The sequence below is a fragment of the Homo sapiens genome, chromosome 11 (assembly GCF_000001405.40).
Source record: "Homo sapiens chromosome 11, GRCh38.p14 Primary Assembly".
Taxonomy (NCBI): Eukaryota; Metazoa; Chordata; class Mammalia; order Primates; family Hominidae; genus Homo; species Homo sapiens.
In genome coordinates, this window is record NC_000011.10 from 65161853 (window position 1) to 65184167 (window position 22315).

General features: G+C 49.7%; 2 protein-coding genes, 1 long non-coding RNA gene and 1 pseudogene across 9 annotated transcripts in view, besides 6 other annotated features; 2 read left to right on the forward strand and 2 right to left on the reverse strand.

Annotated features, from left to right (window-relative positions):
- The first annotated feature begins 8380 nt into the window (after positions 1-8380).
- SPDYC (speedy/RINGO cell cycle regulator family member C) lies at positions 8381-11522 on the forward strand. Of its 2 annotated transcripts, NM_001008778.3 has the most exons (7): positions 8381-8409; positions 9475-9647; positions 10091-10149; positions 10394-10479; positions 10582-10753; positions 10832-11162; positions 11331-11522. In NM_001008778.3, exons 2-7 carry the CDS (start codon positions 9506-9508, stop codon positions 11363-11365), a joined length of 825 nt encoding a protein of 274 aa, NP_001008778.2. In that variant the 5' UTR covers positions 8381-8409; positions 9475-9505; the 3' UTR covers positions 11366-11522. The 2 variants fall into 2 exon arrangements, with proteins under 2 accessions (NP_001008778.2, XP_016873199.1); XM_017017710.2 differs by lacking the exon at positions 8381-8409 and having other exon boundaries at positions 11129-11162.
- Positions 12276-13639, reverse strand: PGAM1P8 (phosphoglycerate mutase 1 pseudogene 8; annotated as a pseudogene).
- Positions 18019-19982, reverse strand: CAPN1-AS1 (CAPN1 antisense RNA 1). Its single transcript, NR_145677.1, has 2 exons — positions 19373-19982; positions 18019-19220 (listed from the first exon to the last, which is right to left on the reverse strand). It is a non-coding gene; the product is annotated as a CAPN1 antisense RNA 1 (long non-coding RNA).
- Positions 19395-19844: a silencer, noted in NCBI's record as "silent region_3511". NCBI's record gives its function as "represses an Ori minimal core promoter by ATAC-STARR-seq in GM12878 lymphoblastoid cells {active_cell/tissue: GM12878}" and the evidence as "EXISTENCE:reporter gene assay evidence [ECO:0000049][PMID:35858748]".
- Positions 19395-21341: a biological region, named in NCBI's record as "hESC enhancers GRCh37_chr11:64949086-64949875 and GRCh37_chr11:64949876-64950664".
- Positions 19521-22315, forward strand: part of CAPN1 (calpain 1) — a 30634-nt gene continuing 27839 nt past the window's right edge. The window contains exons 1-4 of one of the 6 annotated variants that reach the window (XM_006718698.3): positions 19521-19930; positions 20849-21116; positions 21276-21345; positions 21622-21740. In XM_006718698.3, the coding sequence (XP_006718761.1) occupies positions 20850-21116; positions 21276-21345; positions 21622-21740 (456 nt within the window). In that variant the 5' untranslated portion in view covers positions 19521-19930; position 20849. The other 5 variants (NM_001198868.2, NM_001198869.2, NM_005186.4 and 2 more) reach the window with 5 other exon arrangements.
- Positions 19763-20552: an enhancer, noted in NCBI's record as "H3K27ac hESC enhancer chr11:64949086-64949875 (GRCh37/hg19 assembly coordinates)". NCBI's record gives its function as "activates a minimal SCP1, AML or CMV promoter by ChIP-STARR-seq in naive H9 embryonic stem cells {active_cell/tissue: H9 hESC(naive)}" and the evidence as "EXISTENCE:reporter gene assay evidence [ECO:0000049][PMID:30033119]".
- Positions 20446-20740: a silencer, noted in NCBI's record as "tiled region #13875; K562 Repressive DNase unmatched - State 1:Tss". NCBI's record gives its function as "represses a minimal TATA promoter and a strong SV40 promoter by Sharpr-MPRA in K562 cells {active_cell/tissue: K562}" and the evidence as "EXISTENCE:reporter gene assay evidence [ECO:0000049][PMID:27701403]".
- Positions 20553-21341: an enhancer, noted in NCBI's record as "H3K27ac-H3K4me1 hESC enhancer chr11:64949876-64950664 (GRCh37/hg19 assembly coordinates)". NCBI's record gives its function as "activates a minimal SCP1, AML or CMV promoter by ChIP-STARR-seq in naive H9 embryonic stem cells {active_cell/tissue: H9 hESC(naive)}" and the evidence as "EXISTENCE:reporter gene assay evidence [ECO:0000049][PMID:30033119]".
- Positions 21342-22131: an enhancer, noted in NCBI's record as "H3K27ac-H3K4me1 hESC enhancer chr11:64950665-64951454 (GRCh37/hg19 assembly coordinates)". NCBI's record gives its function as "activates a minimal SCP1, AML or CMV promoter by ChIP-STARR-seq in primed H9 embryonic stem cells {active_cell/tissue: H9 hESC(primed)}" and the evidence as "EXISTENCE:reporter gene assay evidence [ECO:0000049][PMID:30033119]".

Here is a 22315-nt window from a genome sequence, read left to right on the forward strand (position 1 = left end):
TTTATTTGAGATGGAGCCTCACTCTGTCACCCAGGCTGGAGTGCAGTGGCATGATCTCCATTCACTGCAGCCTCTGCCTCCTGGGTTCAAGAGATTCTCCTGCCTCAGCCTCCCAAGAAGCAGGGATTACAGGCGTGTGCCAACACACCCAGCTGATTTTTGTATTTTTTGTAGAGATGGGGTTTCACCGTGTTGTCCAGGCTCAAATGCCTGACCTCAAGTGCCTGCCTCAGCCTCCTAAAGTGCTGGAATTACAGGCGTGAGCCACCACGCCTGGCCTCCAATTTTAAACTTACTACAAAGCTACAATAATTAAGACTATGTGCTACTGGCATGATAGACAAATAGATGAATAGAATAGAATTGAGAGTCCAGAAATAAACCTATACATTTCTGGTTAACTGATTTTCTATAAGGGTGCCAAGACCTTTTAATGGGGAAAGAATAGTAGGACAACTGGATATCCACAGGCAAAAGAATGAAGTTAGCCACCTAGCTCACGCTATGCAAAAAACACAACCAAACCAATCTCACAATAGATCATAGACCTAAAATGTAAGAACTAAAACTATAAAACTCTTAGAATAATGTATTTATTTGTTTACTTATTTCCTCTTGTCACTTTTCTGTGAACATATTTGTAATGGCTGCTGTGAAGGCACTATGTGCTAAGTCCAATATCTGGGCCCGTTCAAAAGCGATGTCTATGGCTGCATTCTCTTTTCCTGTGGATGGACCAGACTTTCCTTTTTGTTTGCATGTCATAATTTTTGTTGAAAAAATGTACTTTTAGGCCGAGCGCGGTGGCACACGCCTGTAATCCCAGCACTTTGGGAGGCCAAGGCAGGCAGATCACCTGAGGTCAGGAGTTCGAGACCAGCCTGGTCAACATGGTGAAACCCCATTTCTAGTAAAAATACAAAAAAATTAGCCAGGTGTGGTGGCACATGCCCATAATCCAAGCTACTCAGGAGGCTGAGGCAGGAGAATCGCTTGAACCTGGGAGGCGGAGGTTGCAGTGAGCTGAGATCGTGCCACCGCACTCTAGCCTGGGCAACAGAATGAGACACCCCTCTCAAAAATAAATAAATAAATAAATAAATAAACAAATAATATGTACTTTTATCCAGTTTCATCCATGTTGTTGAGAATGACAGAATTTTGTTCCTTTTATGGGTGAACAATATTCCATTGTGTATATATACCACATTTTCTTTACCTATTTATCCACTGATGGACACTTAGGTTGATCTCATATTTTGGCTATTGTGAATAGTACTGCAATAAATATGGGAGTGCATTTAGAAATATACTTAAATGAATCTAATGTTTTTATTACAATGTACTTTTTTTGTTTGTTTGTTTTTTGAGACAGCGAGTCTCTCTGTCGCCAGGCTACAGTGCTGTGGCATGATCTTGGCTCACTGCAACCTCTGCCTCCCGGGGTCAAGGGATTCTCCTGCCTCAGCCTCCCAAGTAGCTGGGATTACAGGCGTGCACCACCACGCCCAGCTAATTGTTGTATTTTTAGTAGAGACAGGGTTTCACTATATTGGCCAGGCTGGTCTCAAACTCCTGACCTTAGGTGATCTGCCCCCGCCTTGGCCTCTCAAAGTGCTGGGATTACAGGCGAGAGCCACCACTCTGGGCCAAAATGTACATTTTAGATAATACACTGTAGAAACTCTGGATGCCAGCCCTCTCTTAGGAGTCAATGTTGTTACTGTTTGGTTGGCCATTTCTTTTTTGGTTTAGTGACTTGACTGAATTAACTTTGTGAAGTGTATTTTCCTTGCAGTGTGTAGCCTGGAATGTCTGTTTTCTGATTTTTTTTCTTTTAAAAAAATCTAACAACTGGGCCTGGTGGCTCATGCTTGTAATCCCAGCATTTCTGGGGTTGAAGCAGGAGGATAGCTTGAGCCTAAGAGTTCAAGGTAGCAGAGAGCTATAATCATGCCATTGCACTCCAGCCTGGGTGATATAGCAATACCTTGTCTCAAAAAAAAAAAAAAATCTTTTAGCTTGGCTCTCTAGGGGTCACCCCCGGTCAGCACAACTCACTTATGGTCAAAATGACCATAAACCACTTATTGGTCAAAGTTTGTGCTTAAGTTCCAGATTTTTATCTTTACTAGTAGATACGTGTGTGGCCTGCAGACTGGCTACTGCACTTCAGTGAGTTTATGTTTTTGCTCATGTTCAGTCAGAGAATATGCTTCCCCATTTGCTGTATGTGCCTTTAGGATAATTTACAGATTTGAAATGATTGGGTTCTTAAAATAAATTTTTCTGGCCGGGTGCGGGGTGGCTCACATCTGTAATCCCAGCACTTTGGAAGGCCGAGGCAGGCGGATCACGAGGTCGGGAGTTCGAGACTAGCCTGGCCAGTATGGTGAAACCCTGTCTCTACTAAAAAAATAGAAAAATTAGCTGGATGTGGTGGCGCGTGCCTGTAATCCCAGCCACTCGGGAGGCTGAGGCAGGAGAATCACTTGAACCCACGAGTCGGATGTTGCAGTGAGCCGAGATCACGCCACTGCACTCCAGCCTGGAGACAGAGTGAGACTGCGTCTCAAAAGTAAATAAATAAATAAATTTTTCTAGTTAAATGGTTGTTTTGTTGGGGAATGGGTCTGCTGAGCTCCTTACACCACCATTTTGGAAATTGGTGGTGTATTTAAATTTTTTAAAATATCTTATTCCTATGGTTCCCTCCCCTTTGTCATATATTTGTTATATTTGTCTTTCTCCCTTTTTTCCCCCTGAAACAAGGTAACTAGTGGTTTGTCTTTTTTTTTTTTCCAAGACAGATTCTTGCTCTGTTGTCCAGGCTGGAGTGCAGTGTCCCGAACATGGCTCACTGCAACCTCTGCCTCTCAGGCTCAAGTGATCCACCATGCCCAGCTAGGTTTTTTGGTGTGTGTGTGTGTGTGTGTGTGTGTGTGTGTGTGTGTGTGTGTGTGTGTTTTGTTTTGTTTTATAGAGACAGGATCTCTCTATGTTGCCTAGGCTGGTCTTGAACTTCTGGGCTCAAGCAATTCTCCCATCTTGGCATCTCAAAGTGCTGGGATTGCAGGTGTGAGCCACTGTGCCAGGCTGTGTTTGTCTTTGTTAATAATAATAATTTTCACCGGGCATGGTGGCTCACACCTGTAAGCCAGCACTTTGGGAGGCTGAGGCAGGTGGATCACAAGGTCAACAGATCGAGACCATCCTGGCCAACATGGTGAAACCCCATCTCTACTAAAAATATAAAATATTAGCTGGGTGTGGTGGGGCCCACCTGTAGTCCCAGCTACTCGGGAGGCTGAGGCAGGAGGATCACTTGAATCCCGGAGGCTGATGTTGCAGTGAGCCGAGATTGCACCACTGCACTCCAGCCTGGCGACAGAGAGAGACTCCGTCTCAAAAATAATAATAATAATGATGTCTCATTTTATTACACTGTGCTCAGAGAATATTGTTTGTATATTTCTACTTTTTTTAAGGTACTGATGATTTCTTTGTGACCTAAGATATGATCATTTTTTGTAAATATTTTGTTTCTTTGGAAACGTGGTTTTTTTTTTTTCCAGGGGAATTTTTCTTGGTTGGTGTGTGTTATTTTGTTTTCAGATTTTTTAAAATATCAGCTCCATACGGATCTATTCATCTTCTTTCTATTCGTTTTTGTGGTATTGGATGGTTTACAAGATTCCTAGCTCAATAGCACACTGTTAGGTCAATATAGCAAAGTTCAGATGGTTTAGAAGCTTTTTATTTGTTTGTTTCGGTGTGGGGGTGGGTAGGGTTTTGTGTTCTCCCATTGCTTGGTTCTCTTCGGACCCTCAATTTCTCCCTTCTGCATTTTCCCACTTCACTTACTCAATTGCCCACGGATGCTTCTGGCCCATTTTAGCCCTTTTTTTTTTTTTTTTACCCCTCCCGCGGAATCAGTGGACTTTAACGACCTCCCCTTCCTATCGCACATACTTGTAAGCCCCTTCCCTGAGGTCTGAGCTCTGACTTCCCAGGACGTCTTCTTGGTATTTTCAGATTTTAGAATGTCGCAGTCTTTCTGATAGTTGCTCTCGACCAACCCCAGCCCGGATCGATACTCCTTTCTCCCCTCCTTCCCCAGCTTTTCTTGGCACAAAGCCTCGTGCCTGGGAGAGGCCGCAGCGCACGACGGCGTGCGGGGATATGGTCGCTTTCTTTTTATTTACATTTATCTTGAAGTTTGGACCTTCTCTGCTTTCAAGTTATGCCGACGCTGTGGTTTTGGCAGCGTTTTATTTTTCCTTTCTTGTTGTCTGGGGCTGTGTGGACAGCAAAAGTTGGCGGATGGGGACCCAGGCAGCCCCTTGGGCCTCAGGACCCGGAAGTCCCCCTGGCTGGCTTGTGACTTTTTAAGATGGAGTTCAGTTCATCAGCGTGACAGCTTTTCTTATTTTCTAACACGCGCGTTTGAGGTCATAAATTCCTCTCTAAGAATTACTAGTTGTGTCCTCCAACTTTGACAGACAATATTTTCTTTCTTTCTTTTTCTTTTTCTTTTTCTTTTTTTTTTTTTTTTTTTTTTTTTTTTTTTTTTTTGAGACGGAGTCTTGCTCTGTTACCCAGGCTGGAGCAGTGGCGCGACCTCCGCTCACTGCAACCTCCGCCTCCCGGGTTCACGCCATTCTCTTGCCTCACCCACCTGAGTAGTTGGGACTACAGGCGCCCGCCACCACGCCCGGCTTTTTGTATTTTCAGTAGAAACGGGGTTTCACTATGTTGGCCAGACTGGTCGCTAACTCCTGACCTTGTGATCCGCCTGCTTCGGCCTCCCAAAGTGCTGGGATTATCGGCGTGAGCCACCTCGCCCGGGTACATTTGATTAATTTTTAGGAAGATGTTCTGTGCGTGCTTTCCTGCCTTTGTTGGGTGCAGTGCCAGCTTATTCGTCCACTAGGTCAAATTTCTTCATCATATTCTTCATATCTTTTACTGCTTTGCTAACTTTTTTGCCTTGCATGTGCCATCATATCTACAATTATGATTGTGATTTGTTTTTCCGTGTGGTTCTGTTGATTTTACACACACACACACACAGACACACACACATGCGGTTTCTTGCTTATTGACTTTATTTTTAGGAGTAAACAAATTACTATATATTTTTTTCTTTACCTGGATTCTGGTTAGGTAATTATACACTTTTTTTTCTTCCTTCCTTCCCTCCCTCCCTTCTTTCTTTCTTCTCCTTCCTTTTTCCTTTTATTTTTCTCTTCCTGCCTCTTTCCTTTCCTTTATTTTCCCTCCCCTCCTTCCCCTCCTCTTCTTACCGACAGGATCTCCCTATGTTGCCCAGACCAGCACTACAGGTGCACACCACCACATCCGGCTGTATATTTTTAAAATCACTACATAAATTCTCTTTCTCCCTAGTTATGCTTTTTGTCCAAAGTTGTGTTTTTTTGTTTGTTTTTTGTTTTTTTTTTTTTTTGAGACAAGTTCTCACTCTGTCACCCAGGCTGGAGTGCAGTGGTACAATCTTGGCTCACCAAAACCTCTGCCTTCTAGGCTCAAGCGATTCTCCTGCCACAGCCTCCCAAGTAGCTGGGATTACAGGCATTCGCCACTACCACCCACCTAATTTTTGTATTTTTAGTAGAAATGGAATTTCACCATGTTGGCCAGGCTGGTCTTGAACTCCTGACCTCAAATGATCTACCTGCCTCGGCCTCCCAACGTGCTGGGATTACAGGCATAAGCCACCGCGCCCGGCCTAAAGTTGTTTTAATATATTAGTGTAGTTATCCCAGCTTTCTTTTAGTAATTGCATATTATTTTTTCTATCTTTATATTTTGAAATTTTTAATATTCTTATTTATTTATTTATTCATGTTTTAGAGACAGGGTCTTGCTGTGTCACCCAGGCTGGGTAGAATGGCATGATAATAGCTCACTGCAGCCTTGAACTCCTGGGCTCAAGTGATCCTCCCACCTCAGCCTCTTGAGTAGATAGGACTGCAGTCACGTGCCACCATGCCAGGCTAGTTTATTTTTGGTAGAGATGGGGCCTTGATGTATTGCCCAGGTTAGTCTCTAACTCCTGAACTCAAATGATCCTCCTGTCTCGGCCTCCAAAAAGTGCTGAGATTATAGGCGTGAGCCAATGGACCTGGCCATATATATATTTTTTGAGCTGGTAGTATGTTATTATGTTTTATGTGTATTCTTTTATATCCTTTTACGTGTATCCTTTATAGCATGCAATATTAATATATGATTTTACAAATTATATATACATTTACATGAATATAAATTTTATAAATAGTATATTAGTTAGCATAGAATAAATTTTGCTGTGATAATTGTAGCAGGCAGAATAATGGACTCCCAAAGATGGCTACATTTCACTTCCCAGACCTGAGAATATGTTATCTCACATGGCAAAAAAGACTTTGCAGATGGTTAAGGATCTTTTTTTGAGACCAAGTCTTGCTCTGTTGCCCAGACTGGAGTGCAATGGCATGATCTCAGCTCACTGCAACCTCCACCCCCAGGGCTCAAGCAATTCTCCTGCCTCAGCCTCCCGAGTAGTTAGGATTACAGGCATGCACCACCATGCCCCGCTAATTTTTGTATTTTTAGTAGAGGAGGGGTTTTGCCATGTTTACCAGGCTGGTCTTGAACTCCTGACCTCAGGTGATCTGCTCTCCTCTGCCTCCCACAATGCTGGGATTACAGGGGTAAGCCACCTCTCCCAGCCAAGTTAAGGATCTTGAGATGGGGAGATTATCTGGGCAGATTGAAGAGCCCAGTGAATCATGGGATTCTGAAAAGTGAAAGAGAAAGGCTGGGCATGGTGGCTCATGCCTGTAATCCCAGCATTCTGGGAGGCCAAGGCGGGTGGATCATGAGGTCAGGAGAACAAAACAAAACAAAAAAATTGCCAGGCATGGCGGCACATGCCTGTAGTCCCAGCTACTCGGGAGGCTGAGGCAGGAGAATTGCTTGAGCCCTGGAGGTGGAAGTTGCAGGGAGCCGGGATTGGGCCACTGCACTCCGGCCTGGGCAACACAGCGAGACTCCGTCTCAAAAAAAAAAAAAAAAAAAGTAAAAACAAATATTCTCCCCAGTGTGGGAGATCGGTGTCAGATCTCCAGGGGTGGCACTGAAGGAAATCAGCCTGAAGGCCCTCCCAAAGTTAAAGTGACTAGCCCACTCCCAGGCTTCTTTTTGGTACACCTTCCTGATCTCTAACCTTAATTACTGGGGGAGGAGGAGAACAGTTGAAAACACAGCTGGTCTAGGAGATTCATTCGGTTTCATGGAACACCTTCTCTGTGCAGGCAGCGTCCAGGAACAGCTGTAGACCACACAGCCAGGCTACCCAGCGTGTGGGCCCAGCAGCCAGGCTGGAACTCTATCTCTACTTACCAGCTGAGTGGCTGGCAGGAAGTTACTCAGCCTGTCGGTCAGCAACCCAAACTCTGTGTGTTAGTTGTTTGTTCGCTGACAAAATGAGGCTTCTCATCATTCTCATCAACTTCACGGGCTTGCTGTGAGGAACACGTGAGCTGATTCCATCACAGACTCCTCAGTAGGCAGCAGTAGGTGTTTAGTGAACGGGCTATGGATGCTGCCCCACTCACTACTTCCTTTCTAGGGGAGGCCGACTTCAAATGCGTGCACACACACAAACAGGATGGCCTGATGCAGACCAGCTGGTCTAGAAAGGCCTTCACGGCCTCAGGGAGCCTGGGAGGCGGCCTGGGGGAGACCATGAAACAGCAGATACACCAGAGACCAGAGATCAGAGAGAAAACAAAGGACCCAGAGATCCACAGACATCCAGACACCAGAGGCAACAAGAAACTGAGAGACTCAGAGGCCCACTGAGACCCAGGCAGCTTGTTCTGTGTTACGAGGGGAAAAATAAAATAAGAAACAAAAGAGAGACTCGGGGGGCCTCAGTGAAACCTAGAGACTCAAGGAGGCCAGGAGATTCAGAGACACCCATAGAGAGCCAGAGACCCTGCCCTAGCAAGGCACAATCAATGAAAAAAAACTCGCCCACCAGGCCCTCGCAGTCCGGGTCTCATATCCCGGCTCAGCACCTTGGCGCTGCATTTGTCAAGAGGGGAACAGGGATCCTAGCTCCCTGCCTGTCCTATGGGGCCTTAGGCCCTGGGGTCCAGCTGGCCTGCCTTCACCCCTCTTGTAGTTGATGAAGCTTTGGAGAGGCTTTCAAACCCTGGGGAGCCACAGCTGGGTGCCGACTGGACTCACTGGCAGAGAGGCAGGCGGTGAAGGCCAAGCCTCGCCCCCCAGGAAGGCCCTGATTGGTGGACGGGCTGCTTTGGGCAGGGCCGCCCTCAGGCTATATAAGCGCACTCGCGGCGGCGTTGGTGTTATGCTCTGGGCCATTCCTGAGCTCGGGTAAGGCTCGCTGCAGGAGGAGGCTGGGTTGCTTGCGGGCGCCTAGATGGAGGGGCCCAGATTGGCCCTGGGGTGGTCGACCGCACGTTCTCCTCGGCCCCGTGGTTGGCTTCTCTCTCTCAGGGATGAGGGTGGGTTTAGGACGGGAGCTTGAAATGTTTGAAGTGGCCCCATCAACTTGCTCTAAATCCAGGTATTTTTCTAATTTCATTCCTCCCTGAGGGCCTCAGTTTCCCCTCGGTGTAAGGGATCAGTGGCCCTTTCAACTCTGCTTTGGTGAGGGGTCGGGGGTGGTTGTGAGTTGGGGCCTAGAGGAGCAGTTAAACTCTTGGGTTTTTTTTTTCTTTTTTTTTGGCCAGGCGCAGTGGCTCACGCCTGCAATCCCAGCACTTTGGGAGGTCAGGAGTGTGAGACCAGCCTGGCCAACACGGTGAAACCCTGTCTCTACCAAAAAAATACAAAAAAAATTAGCCGGGCGTGGTGGCATGGCGCATGCCTGTAATCCCAGCTACTCGGGAGGCTCAGGCTGGAGAATCAGTTGAACCCGGGAGGCGGAGGTTGCAGTGAGCCGAGATCGCGCCACTGCACTCCAGTCTGGGCGACAGAGAGAGACTGTGTCTCAAAACAAACAAACAAAAACCAAAAAACCTCTTGGGGTTTTGGAGACCAAGGGCTTCACTTTTAACCGGCTGTTAGGCCTCAGCTTCAGTTTCCTCGTTTGACGACCGGTCTGAGTTAAACTTACCTCCTTACCAGGATGGAATAAGATAAGGCCCTTAAGCACAGCCCCAGGCACTTAGGAAGCCCTCAGCGGTGCTTGTTGCTGCTGTTACTCTGGCCTGTCCTGGGGTGCCAGGAGGAGGGTGAGGGTGCCACACCCTCACCTATAGCAACTCTTTGCTTCTTTTCTGGCCTCCCCACTCTTGTTGCATCCCGGCTGCCTTCTGTTCTGAGCCCCCAAGTCTCTGCACCCACCCCTCCACCGTCCTGGCCCCTGTCACCACCCTCTTGATTTGTGAGCATCACGGGGGTACATGCTAAGTCCTGAGCCTCCTTTCTCTACAGGTCACCCTGCCCCATCTCCATCTCCTATGAGATGAGTGACTCCCAAGACCCCACCACTTCCCCTGTAGTTACCACCCAGGTAGAGCTGGGGGGCTGCAGCCGGCAAGGTGGGGGCAATGGGTTCCTCCGTTTTCGCCAGCACCAGGAGGTCCAGGCCTTCCTCAGCCTTCTGGGTGAGTTTGGAGGGCTGGCACGGGAGGGGCCGTGAGGTCAAGTGTGAAAGCAGATGTGAAGTGTGGGGTCTCACCTGCCTGTACAGACATCTGAGACCTCTGACCCTCTCCCTCTCAGGTATCCCAGCTTAGGCAGGTGGGAGGGGTGTCCTCTCAGAAACTGGATTCAGGGCCAGGCACCGTGAGTCATACCTATAATCCCAACATTTTGGGAGGCTGAAATGGGAGTATCACTTCAGGCCAGGAGTTCAAGACCAGCCTGGTCAACATAGTGAGACTCCATTTCTATTTATATTAAGAAAGAGAGAGAGAAAGAGAAAAAGGGAGAAAAAGAGAAAGAGAGAGAGGGTTCAGTGGTGGCTTGGGCTTTGGAGCTTCTGATGCCACTCTTCTCCATGGAGGTGGTGGTAACCTGCGTCCTGTCATGTCTTCTCTACCCTCAGAGGACAGTTTTGTCCAGGAATTCCTCTCCAAAGACCCCTGCTTCCAGATTTCAGATAAGGTGAGGGAGTACAGGCTGGGGGTCTCTTGAGGGTCAGGTTGAGTTGGTGGGAATTGAGTGCCCTGGTCTGGTAGGGAGAGCCACTCACCTTCCATCCTTACCCCCTCATCTTTGCACACCACTTCCCACCATTTTACTGACTTTCTTTCCCTGCAGCAAAACCTCCCTGGGTGCAAATGAACCTGGGTGCAAGCCCCTCCTCCTCAGAGAATAACTAACCCCCCACCCCGATCTGTCTCTGCAGTATCTCCTGGCCATGGTGCTGGTCTACTTCCAGCGCGCCCACCTGAAGCTCAGCGAGTATACCCACAGCAGCCTGTTCTTGGCCCTGTGAGTGGTGGGGGCAGGCAGTGGAGGCATTTGCTGGAGGTGTCAGATGGGACAGGGCAGATGTGTGGCCTCTGCTCCCTGACCTTGTGCCTCTGTGGCTAGGTACCTTGCAAACGACATGGAGGAGGACCTGGAGGGCCCCAAATGTGAGATTTTTCCATGGGCCCTGGGAAAAGATTGGTGTTTACGAGTGGGGAAATTCCTGCACCAGAGGGATAAGCTTTGGGCACGGATGGGTTTCCGGGCTGTTGTGAGCCGCCAGTGCTGTGAGGAGGTGAGGCTGGGAGGCAACCTGGGGTGTGGGGAAGGCTGGGGTTCCCACCCCATTTACTGTCCACTCTGCTCCTCCCAGGTCATGGCAAAGGAGCCATTCCACTGGGCTTGGACTCGGGACCGGCGCCCCCACCATGGTGGGGTTCAGAGGGTCTGTCCACAGGTCCCTGTTCGCCTTCCCCGGGGCCCTGGCCTCTCGCCGCCCCACTGTTCCCCCTGTGGTTTGCCCCAGCACTGCAGCAGCCACTTGCTTAAGCCTGTGTCATCCAAGTGCCCTTCTCTGACCTCTGAATGTCATCGCCCTCCCTCCCAAAATTATCTCTCAAGGGTCAAAAACGCCTGGGGTGGGGACTTTCTCATCGTCTTGCCTCCCCAGATGCAACTGGAACCAGGCACCTACTCCCTCCGCAGTGAGTGCAGGATGGGACAGGAGCTGGGGGCTGGTGTGGGAGCTTGGGAGGCAGGAGTGAGGACCAACAATATGAGAGAGAGGGCCATGGGCCTGGGGTCGACGTGCTGCCCCTCCCGTGTGAGCTTGGCAGGTTTCTTCTCTGAGCCTCACTCTTTCCTCTCCCCAGTCTTCCCAAAGCCTCCGGCACGCCCTGGGCACTGAAGCTCTGCAGGGTGAAGAACAGCACGCCTGCTGGCCCACTGACTGACACACCATTGGCTGTGCTCCCACCCCTGCCCCTTCCTCCCAGCCTGCAGCTTGTGCCCACTCTGGTGCCAGTCCCCTCTAATAAATTCATGTCCACAGGACACCAACTGTGCTTAGGTCCTGGCCTGGTTCCTTGACCCAAGGTTGGGGTGGGGAGGGGGTATCTACCAGGGTTACAACATGTGAGCACAGGCTCTGTAACAGCTTGGCCCCTTCCCATTGGTGGCCAGTTATTCTGAGCCTCAGTTTCATCTCTGTGCTATCCATGCCTATGGATGATGAGATCTACACAGTCTAGATGGGATTAAATGAGATGAGGTATCTGCAGCCCTTAGAAGAGGGCCAGGGAGCCGAACGTGGTGGCTCACACCTGTAATCCCAGCACTTTGGGAGGCTGAGCCGGGTGGATCACTTGAGGTCAGGAGTTCAAAAACAGCCTGGCCAACATGGTGAAACCCCTTTGCTACTAAAAATACAGAAACTAGCCAGGCATGGTGGCAGGTGCCTATAATCCCAGCTACTCGGGACGCCAAGGTGGGAGAATTGCTTGAACTGTGGAGGCGGAGGTTACAGCGAGTTGAGATCATGCCACTGCACTCCAGCCTGGACGACAGAGTGAGACTCTGTCTCAAAAAAAAAAAAAAAAAAGGCCAGGAACATATTGGGAAACAAAACTTGAATGGAAGACAGCTCTTTATTTAGTCTAGAAATGCCTTCAGGGCCAGGTTTACTTAGGAATAAGACTTGATCCCTTCCTTGAGCTACAGTCAAATATAATATTGTAATTATAATAAACAACCCCCCTCCCCCAAGAGACATGAGGACTCAAAAGGGTTAATTTCTTTTTTTCTTTCTTTTTTTTTTTTTTCACATCACTCCTTTATTATACTGATCTGGAAAAAGATTTAGTACAGTTATGCTCAGATGAACACTGGACCCATGTGGCAGGGCCAAGCAAGTAGAACATGATTCAGAAATCAGTGAAAGACATACTTGGACAGGACCAAGAGGCATTTCACTGTCACGAAACAAGGCAGGAAGGGATTGTAATACCCACACCAGGAAGCACTCCTGCCCCTCAGAGGTCAAGGAGCTGATCCTATATTGGTATGAGGAATGGCTTATTTTCTGATGACTACATGTGGGACTATTTCAACCGCCACGAGAAACCCCAGAAGGGTTATTGTTTTGTATTATTTATATATACTATACTTCTTAAATTAAATGTAACACATAACTAAATTCAGGATTGATCCCAACCTTCTAGAGCCAGCTCCTCTGGCGTCAGGGAGGAAACAGTTGTCACATCACCATGCAGGTTACATTCATCTTCCACTGGAATGACTAGAGCCCTCAGGCAGTGGCCTGACTGCAGACGAGCAGAGGACTGGCTCCTGGGGACAGACAGGCTCTGTTGCTTCTCCTCATTGGTCATGGCTTAGCATGGTTCCTCCCCACAAGTCCTTAGTAAACAAAGCAACTCGCAAAAACCCAAGTCACTACTTTTAAACTCTGTTGGATAAGGGGAGCTTTTCCACAGCTTGGACTGAGAACCTGTGCTCTAGAAGTGCTATTCTGACTAGATTGTATGAAGGGAGTGGGTGCAGGAGACAAAATGGCTAAAATGAAAATGGGAGTCACTGGTCCCCATCTGCAGCTACAACTCAAGATGTCTACAGATGGGGTCAGTGTGACATGTGCAGGTGGGAGGGGCAGAGGGACAAGACAGGCAGGGAGGGTGCTCCTGGGAACAGTATCCTCCCTGCTGGCCTTCACTTCTTGGCCTTGCCCTGGGCAGCCACAGCTTCCATGGCTTTGCGTACCATCTCTTCATCCCCCAGAAACTGCATGGGCTTGATAGGCTTCAAGTTCTTGTCCCATTCATAGACAATGGGAATACCAGTCGGCAGGTTCAGCTCCATGATAGCCTCTTCAGAGAGACCCTCCAGATGCTTGGCAATGCCCCGGAGGCTGTTGCCATGGGCTGCAATCAGTACACGTTTCCCCTCCTTGATCTGGGGAACTATTTCTTCATTCCAGAAGGTCAGAGCTCTGGCAATAGTGTCCTTCAGACTCTCACAGGAGGGTAGCAGATCTTCTGTGAGGTCTGCATACCTGCGATCCTTACTGATGTTGCTATAGAAAGGATGGTTGGGCTCCATTGGAGGTGGTGGGACATCATAGGAGTGCCTCCAGATCTTCACCTGGGCCTCACCATGCTTTGCAGCAACCTCCGCCTCCCTGGTTCAAGCGATTCTCCTGCCTCAGCCTCCTGAGTAGCTGGGATTACAGATGTGCGTCACCACGCCCGGCTAATTTTTTTTTTGTATTTTTAGTAGCAACGGGGTTTCATCATGTTGGTCAGGCTGATCTTGACCTCCTGACCTCGTGATCTGCCTGCCTCGGCCTCCCAAAGTGCTGGGATTACAGGCGTGAGCCACCGCACCCAGCCGTGAGGTGCCAGATTTTTATCTTTGCCAAACTGCTAAGTGGGAAACAGTCTCTTGGTGAAATTTTAATTCACATTTGCTTTTCAGTGAGCTCAACATCTTGTCATATGTTTAAGACCTATTTGTCTTCTTTTATTTGTGAACTTTTTTTTTTTGAGACAGGGTCTTGCTTTGTCATCCAGGCTGGAATACAGTGGTGCGATCACAGCTCACTGCAGCCTCGACCTCTGGGATAGCTGGGACTACAGGCCACCATGCCCAGCTAACTTTTTGTATTTTTGGTACAGACAGGGTCTCACCGTATTGTCCAGGCTGATCTCGAACTCCTGGGCTTAAGCGATCCACCCACTTTGGCCTCCCAAAGTGCTGGGATTTACTTTTATTTTATTCTTAGAGACAGCATCTTGCTCTATTGCCCAGGCTGGAGGGAAGTGGCACAATCATAGCTCACTGCAGCCTCCAACTGCTGGGCTCAAGCCACCCTCCCATCTCAGCCTCTGGAGTAGCTGGGATGACAGGCATGCACCACCACACCTGGCTAATTTTCTAATTTTTTTATAGATGGGGTCTCATTATGTTGCCCAGGCTAGTCTCAAACTCCTAGCCTCAATCAATCCTCCTGTCTAGGCCTCCCAAAGTGTTAGGATTATAGGAATGAGCGACCACACCCAGAACATGATTTTTTATATATGTATATGGAGAAAAATACTCCTTTAAGATGTTAATTGTAAATGTTTTCTTCAGTCCATCATTTTGACATAACTGTATGGATTTTTAATGTAGTAAAAAATGCAATTTTATGACTTTTGGGTTTTGTGTCATAGTTAAAAAGACTGTTTCCACACTGAGATGATACAAAAAGTTTCTCCTTTAGCTCCTGGCTGTATTTTTTTTTTTTTTTTTTTGAGATGGAGTTTTGCTCTTGTTGCCCAGGCTGGAGTGCAATGGTGCGATCTCCACTCACCGCAACCTCCGCCTCCATCTCCCGGGTTCAAGCAATTCTTGTGCCTCAGTCTCCCAAGTAGCTGGGATTGCTGGTGTGTGCCACCATGCCCAGCTGATTTTTGTATATTTAGTAGAGATAGGGTTTCACGATGTTGGCCAGGCTGGTCTTGAACACCTGACCTCAAGTGATCCACCCACCTCAGCCTCCCAAAGTGCTAGGATTACAGGCATGAGCCACCGTGCCCAGCCAGCTTCTGGCTGTATTTTCGTTTTCATTTTTGTACGTTTAAATATTGAAGGTTAACATTTAATTTTTATTTTTATTTATTTATTTTTTTTGAGACGTTGTCTCACTCTGTCGCCGAGGCTGGAGTGCAGTGGCGCAATCTTGGCTCACTGCAAGCTCTGCCTCCTGGGTTCACGCCATTCTCCTGCCTCAGCCTCCCAAGTGGCTGGGACTACAGGCGCCCGCCACCACGCCCGGCTAATTCGTTTTGTATTTTTAGTAGAGATGGGGTTTCACCGTGTTAGCCAGGATGGTCTTGATCTCCTGACCTCGTGATCCACCTGCCTCAGCCTCCCAAAGTGCTGGGATTACAGGCATGAACCACCGCGCCTGGCCTATTTTTTATTGATTTTTTAGAGATGGAGTCTTGCTTTGTTGCCCAGGCTAGAGTGCAGCGGTGCTCACTGAGGCCTTGAACCCCTAGGCTCAAGAGAGCCTCCCACCTCAGGCTCCGAAAATGCTGGGATTACAGGTGGTGTGAGATACCACACCAGACCTAGAGTTTTTATTTTTTAATTTTTAAAAAAATTTTTATTTATTTTTTTGAGACGGAGTCTCACTCTTTTGCTCAGGCTGGAGTGAAGTGGTGCAATCTCGGCTCACTGCAACCTCCGCCCCCTGGGTTCAAACAATTCTCCTGCCTCAGCCTCCCGAGTAGCTGGGATTACAAACGCCTGCCACCCACCATGCCCAGCTTTTTTTTTTTTTTTTTTTGTATTTTTAGTAGAGACGAGGTTTCACCATATTGGCCGGGCTGGTCGTGAACTCCTGACCTCAGGTGATCCATCTACCTTGGCCTCCCAAAGTGCTAGGATTACAGGTGTTAGCCACCACACCCAGCCTTTTTAAATGTTTTTTTCATTAGGAACAACATATTCCAAACCTATAAATTGAGTTCATCTGTAATTTTTTCTAAGATACAAATTATGAATCCAACTTACTTTTTTTCCAGATTGCTCCCTTTTCTTCCTAATGTCTTTTATTAACTCATCTTTTCTCAACAGATTAGAAATGGTACTTTTATCATCTACTACATTCCTGCCTGTATTTGAATCTGTTTCTAAATTTCTCTGTCTTCTATTGATCTCTATGTGTCAGTAACCCTCTTTAATTATTACCTTTTAATGATAGATTTGTTGTGTTTTAATATCTGGTAGGATTAGTCTATACTCATTATGTCTTTTATTTTCAGAAGTTTCCTACTTGTTTAATTTGCCATATGACCTTTAAATCAGCTTTTCTAGTCCCTCCTTATCTCCCACCAGAAGACTCTTAAAATTTTTCATTGTGATACACTTAGAGATTAATTTAAGGAGAATTGACATCTATATGAAGCATCTTCATATGAAGACCAAGGTGTCAGCCCCCTTGCCTCTGCTTTTTGGTGGCTAGTGACTCCCAAATTTGTACCTCTATTTTGAGCACAAGGTCTGTTCCTCACCCCTAGGAATCTCCTCTTGGATAGGGGGATCCCAAAGATACCCCATACCCTGATCCCATACTGTCCCTCCAGCTTAGTGCATTCCCCCTTCTCTTTAATCTACTCAGGTGCTCAAGCCAGATCCAGGGTCTGAAGTTGTCTTTGGTCTCTCCTGGTGTCCAAGAGCCATATCTAACCAGTGACTAAGTTCTATTTTTTTTTTTTTTTTGAGACGGAGTTTTGCTCTTGTCGCCCAGGCTGGAGTGCAATGGTGTGATCTTGGCTCACTGCAACCTCCATCTCCTGGGTTCAAGTGATTCTCCTACCTCAGCCTCCCTAGTAGTGGGGACTACAGGAGCCCACCACCACGTCCAGCTAATTTTTGTATTTTTTAGTAGAGACAGGGTTTCGCCATATTGGCCAGGCTCGTCTCTCGAACTCCTGACCTTATGTGATCCGCCCACCTCAGCCTCCTAAAGTGCTGGGATTACAGGGGTGAGCCACTGCGCTCAGCCTGTGGTATATTTGTAATCACTGATGAACCAATATTGACACAATATTATTAATTCAAGTCCATAGTTTACATTAAGGTTCACTCTTAGTGTTGTACATTCTGCAGGTTTGGATAAATGCATGTCATGCATCCGTCATTACAGTATCATACAGAATAGTTTCGCTGTGCTAAAAATGCCCTGTGCTCCATCCCTCTCCTACCCCTCTGAATCCCTGGCAACTGCTGATCTTTTTACCATTGCTAGTTTTGCCTTTTCTAGAACGTCATATAGAGTTATTGGAATCATACAGTATGCAGCTTTTTAATACCAGCCTCTTTTACTTAGCAATATGCGTTTAAGGTTATGCTATGTCTTTTTGTAGCTTGATGGCTGATTTCTTTGTATCGCTAAATTTTAAAGAAATTGCCAAACTGTCTTCCAAAGTGGTGGTGATCATTTTACCCTCTCTTGGTGTATGACAGCTCCAGTTCTTCTATATCCTTGACAACATAACAACACTTGGTATGGTTGATCTTAACTTTTAGCCATTCTAGTAGGTGTTCTTTTAGAAGCAGTCCTTCTAGTGGCTTTAATTTGCATTTCCCTAAGAGTAATGCACTCAGTGTTTTTTAATGTGCCTATTTGCCATCCAGAGATCTTTTTGGATGAAGTGTCTGTTCAAATGTTTTGTCCATTTTTTGACAGGCGCGGTGGCTCACCCTGTAATCCCAGCACCTTGGGAGGCAGAGGCGTGCAGATCACTTGAGGTCAGGAGTTTGAGACCAGCTTGGCTAACATGGTGAAACCCTGTCTCTACTAAAAATACAAAAATTAGCCTGGTGTGGTGGCGGGCGCCTGTAATCCCAGCTACTGGGGAGGCTGAGGCAGGAGAATTGCTTGAACCCAGGAGGTGGAGGTTGCAGTGAGCCAGGATCGCGCCACTGCATTCCAACCTGGGTGATGGAGCGGGACTCCATCTCAAAAACAAAAACAAACACCAGAAAACAAACAAATGTTTTGTCCATTTTTATTGGATTTTTATTCAATTGTAAAAGTTCTTTATACAAGTCCTACATCAGATAGAATTTTTACAAATATTCGTCCTAGTCTATGGCTTATCTTTTCATTTTTAATAGTTTCGTGCATTTTGAGAAACAAAAGCGTTTTATTTTGATGAAGTTCAATTTATTGATTTCTTCTATCATTTACACTTTTTGTGTCATATTTAAGAAATCTGGCCAGGTGCCAAAGCTCACACCTGTAATCCCAGCACTTTGGGAGGCTCAGGCAGGAGGACTGCTTGAGCCCAGGAGTTCATGACCAGCCTGAGTAACACAGCAGGACCCCATTTCTACAAAAAATTTAAAAATTAGCTGTGTGTCGTGGCACGTGCCTGTAGTCTCAGCTACTCAGGAGGCTGAGGTGAGAGGATCTCTTGAGCCCAGGAGTTTAAAGTTACAGTGAGCTGTGATCAGGGCACTGCACTCCTGCCTGGTCAATGAAAGCAAGACCCTGCCTTTAGAAAAGAAAAAAGAAATCTTTTCAAACCCAATATTGTTAAGATTGTCTCCATTTTTAAAAAAAAAAGTTTTATGGTTTGGCCATTTATATTTAGGTGTGTAATCCAGTTTGAGTTAAATTTTGATGGTGTATCCTAAATAGTTATCAAATCCATCTACTTCTGCCTGCCACCTCTCTAGTTTAAACCACCCTTCTCTGTCCCTGGACACCTGCGCAGAAAGCCTAGGAGCTGGTTCCACCCATCACTCACCAGGTTAGGTATTTCAGGCAAGTCACACCCTCTCAGGCCTCAGTTTTCCTCTTTTGTTAACTGAGGGTGAAAGTGGGGTTAGATTAGATCAGCGGCTCTTAACTTTTGAGGGGTCGTGGGCCCTAGAGTCCTGGGAACGCTATGCAGTTTCCTCAGCAAAATGCTTGCATCCACAACATGCAAGACTGCAGCAGCTGCTGGGCTGGGGCTGCGAGACCAGCGAAAAGCCCTGACTTGGGGGGGTCTCGGGAGTCTCTGCAGTCTCCCCACCCACACCCCCGGCCTCCGCGCCGAATCCTGGCCCCCCAACTTCTTGCAGCCCGTGAAGCAGGATCTCAGGGTCCTGGGGGTGGGGAGAGGGGGCTGCCGTCCTGCTCGCAGCCTCTGCCGCCCTCTCCTGGGTAAGGTGACACATGGGCGCTTCCAGGTGGGTGGGCTGAGAGCCTGGGGGAGAGAACAGGGATGTCCACCTCTCTAAGTTTCCAGGTTCAAGAAACCCCAGAACGTTAGAGAAAGATGGGCTCCCACAATTGCCCAACCCCATCCCATAGGATGCACGCATGCGGAAAGTCGGGCCGAACGGGGCAGGGACTTACCCAAGGTCACGCAGCGAGCCCGGTCCCCCTGCGTTCCCCGGGGAGCGCTGAGCCGGGACGCGGCGGTGGGGTGGGGAAGGGGAGTGGCGCGGCCCTGCGGGGTGAGGCTGCCGTTTGCTGAGTGTCCGGCAGGGGTCTGCTCGCTGCCAGCCCGGCCCCTCCTCAGAGCAGCTGCCGCAGCCCGAGGTAATCTCGGCCCCGCGCCGGGGCTGGCTGGGAACGGCGGGAGCAGCTGCGGTCGCGCGGAGCGAGGGGAGCTGGGGACCGGGCGGGCCCGGGGCTGCGGGAGGCGGCGCCGCCGCACAATCGCCCCGGAATGCCCGCCAGGGCGCGCGTGGGGTGCGGCCGTCCGGCCCTGCAACTCGAGCTGCTGCCCCTGGTTAAAAATACCCCCTGCCCGGCCCTCCCCCTCCGTTCCCCGCGGTGCCCTTCCGCCGCGCCCCAGCCCCCCCATCCCCCCCCGCGCTGGCCCCTCCCCGGGGACTGCTCTGCCTTTTACTAATTTGTCCTCTCGCGGAATTGGCCCCCGGCCTGCGGAGGGAGGGGCGGGGAGACACCGTGAGTAAGAGATAGTCAGAGACCGTGCCGGAGAGATAAGGGAGAGCCGAGAGGAAGCGGGGTAGGAGCCCCAGGAGGAGGAGGAGGAGAAGGAGAGAGGGAGGGCGGAGGGCGGAGGGGCGGCGGGAGGAGGGCGGGGAGGAGCGCTCTTCCTGGTTGGGCCCTGCCCTGAGCTGCCACCGGGAAGCCAGCCTCAGGGACTGCAGCGACCCCCAAACACCCCTCCCCCAGGTAAGAAGCTGGGTAGCCGAGCCGGGATTCCTTGACCCTGGCCACTGCTCCTGGGCTGAGGGGCTGCCCCAGCACGGTCCCTTCTCGGGGGCCTCTGCGTTCCTGGAGCAGGGGTGGGGGCTGGCGGAGCGGCACAGCCCAGGCGCCTGTCCCAGCCTGGCTCACCGCTGTCCCCAGGGGCTGGGCTAGGGCCCACCAGCTCTGATATCGAGCCTGCTGCGGGGGCCTGAGGAGGGGGACCCCGACCGTCTGGGGTTTTCAGCCCACGGCAAGGGGCCGGTGCACCAGGAGCTTGGTTAGTTTGGGGAGGGGGTTGCAGGCCTGTGAACAGGATCAAAGAGGCCTTCCCTGCTGTGTCCCACCTGCCCAGTTCCTTGTGCTGTCTGGAGGCTCCGCCCTGCCCCACCTGACCTGCTGGCTCACTACAGAGCTGCAAGCCCCTGACAATGGGATCCGGGAAAGGAGAGGTGGCCGGCACGCCTGGGAACTGGGAAATCCCTTTCCTGGATTCACTGGGAGCACCGGGAGGTGGCTGAGAACCCTACTTCTGTGAGGGGAGCAGTGAGGCAGGGAAACCCTAGGTTTGGGGATGGATAAGCAGGGGCAGGAGAGCAGAGCTTGCAGGCAGGAGCCCAGGTTCTAGTCTTGGGAAGGCCTGGGTTCTGAGCAGGCCCATCTGTCCGGCAGGATGTCGGAGGAGATCATCACGCCGGTGTACTGCACTGGGGTGTCAGCCCAAGTGCAGAAGCAGCGGGCCAGGGAGCTGGGCCTGGGCCGCCATGAGAATGCCATCAAGTACCTGGGCCAGGATTATGAGCAGCTGCGGGTGCGATGCCTGCAGAGTGGGACCCTCTTCCGTGATGAGGCCTTCCCCCCGGTACCCCAGAGCCTGGGTTACAAGGACCTGGGTCCCAATTCCTCCAAGACCTATGGCATCAAGTGGAAGCGTCCCACGGTGAGAGGGGCCATCCTGGGTGGGACTCGGCTAAGCCAGATCCTGGATGAGGAGTAGGGATGGGACTCCATGTCCCTGGTGGGGAATGGGGTCTGGGGTGGCCTGGTGCCAATTTCTGGGAGGGGCTGGCCGAGGAACAGGACTCTGGGTCTCTCGTAGGAACTGCTGTCAAACCCCCAGTTCATTGTGGATGGAGCTACCCGCACAGACATCTGCCAGGGAGCACTGGGTAGGCCCCCAGGGCGTCGGGTCCCGGGTATTTTTTCCACAGTAGTTCCCCATTCCCGCTCCTTCAGGCTCTGCCCCAACCCCTCCCTCTTGCAAGCCCAGGCAGGATCTGGCTATCAGCGCTGGGGCTGGTTTGCCCAGATTCCTGGGTCTTTTCTGCAAGCTGAGGGGAGTTAAGTGGCACCCTGGCCAAGGAACCCCAGATTCTCCCTAGCACCCGCTTCCCCCCCCGGGGCAGGTTGGTAGAGCAGGCTAATGTGCATCCCTCCTGCCCCAGGGGACTGCTGGCTCTTGGCGGCCATCGCCTCCCTCACTCTCAACGACACCCTCCTGCACCGAGTGGTTCCGCACGGCCAGAGCTTCCAGAATGGCTATGCCGGCATCTTCCATTTCCAGGTGAGGGCTCCCCTGGGGAGGAGGGGCAGCAGGCACTGGGGGAGATGCGGAAGGATGACCCACAATACCTGCAGTTAGGGCCACACCCTGTGGGGCCAGCCCTCCCTCTAGCAGGTATTTGACCTCTCAGTGCCATCTCGGGTCTGTCATGTGTGAAGTGACTGGGCTGGGCAGGTATTTCGGCTGGCAGTTTTCCTAGGTGGTTGTATGTATCAGGTGGAAAGTGCTTGAAAGAACAGAAAGACTTTTGTGTTATATCCTGTGGGACAAATTCCACTCCTCCCGGAGGTCGGTCTCAGTTGCCCCATCTGAGAAAGGAGTGTTCGCTGGGGAAAACAGATCAGCACGTGTGGCCTTCTCCACGTGTCAAGCCTCCTATCCCCCAACTCCTCCTGCGCTTTGGCAAGGTCTGACTGAGCCCAGCAGAAAAGAAAGACTCGGGATTAAGTCTACGTAAACCAGCTTTTCCTGACGGTGTGCCCAGGGCCCATTTTTCAAGTCACACCAATCAATTCTCAATGAGCTGCCTTTGGGAGGGACATGCCCAGCAACCCTGGATGAGACTCTCCAGCCTT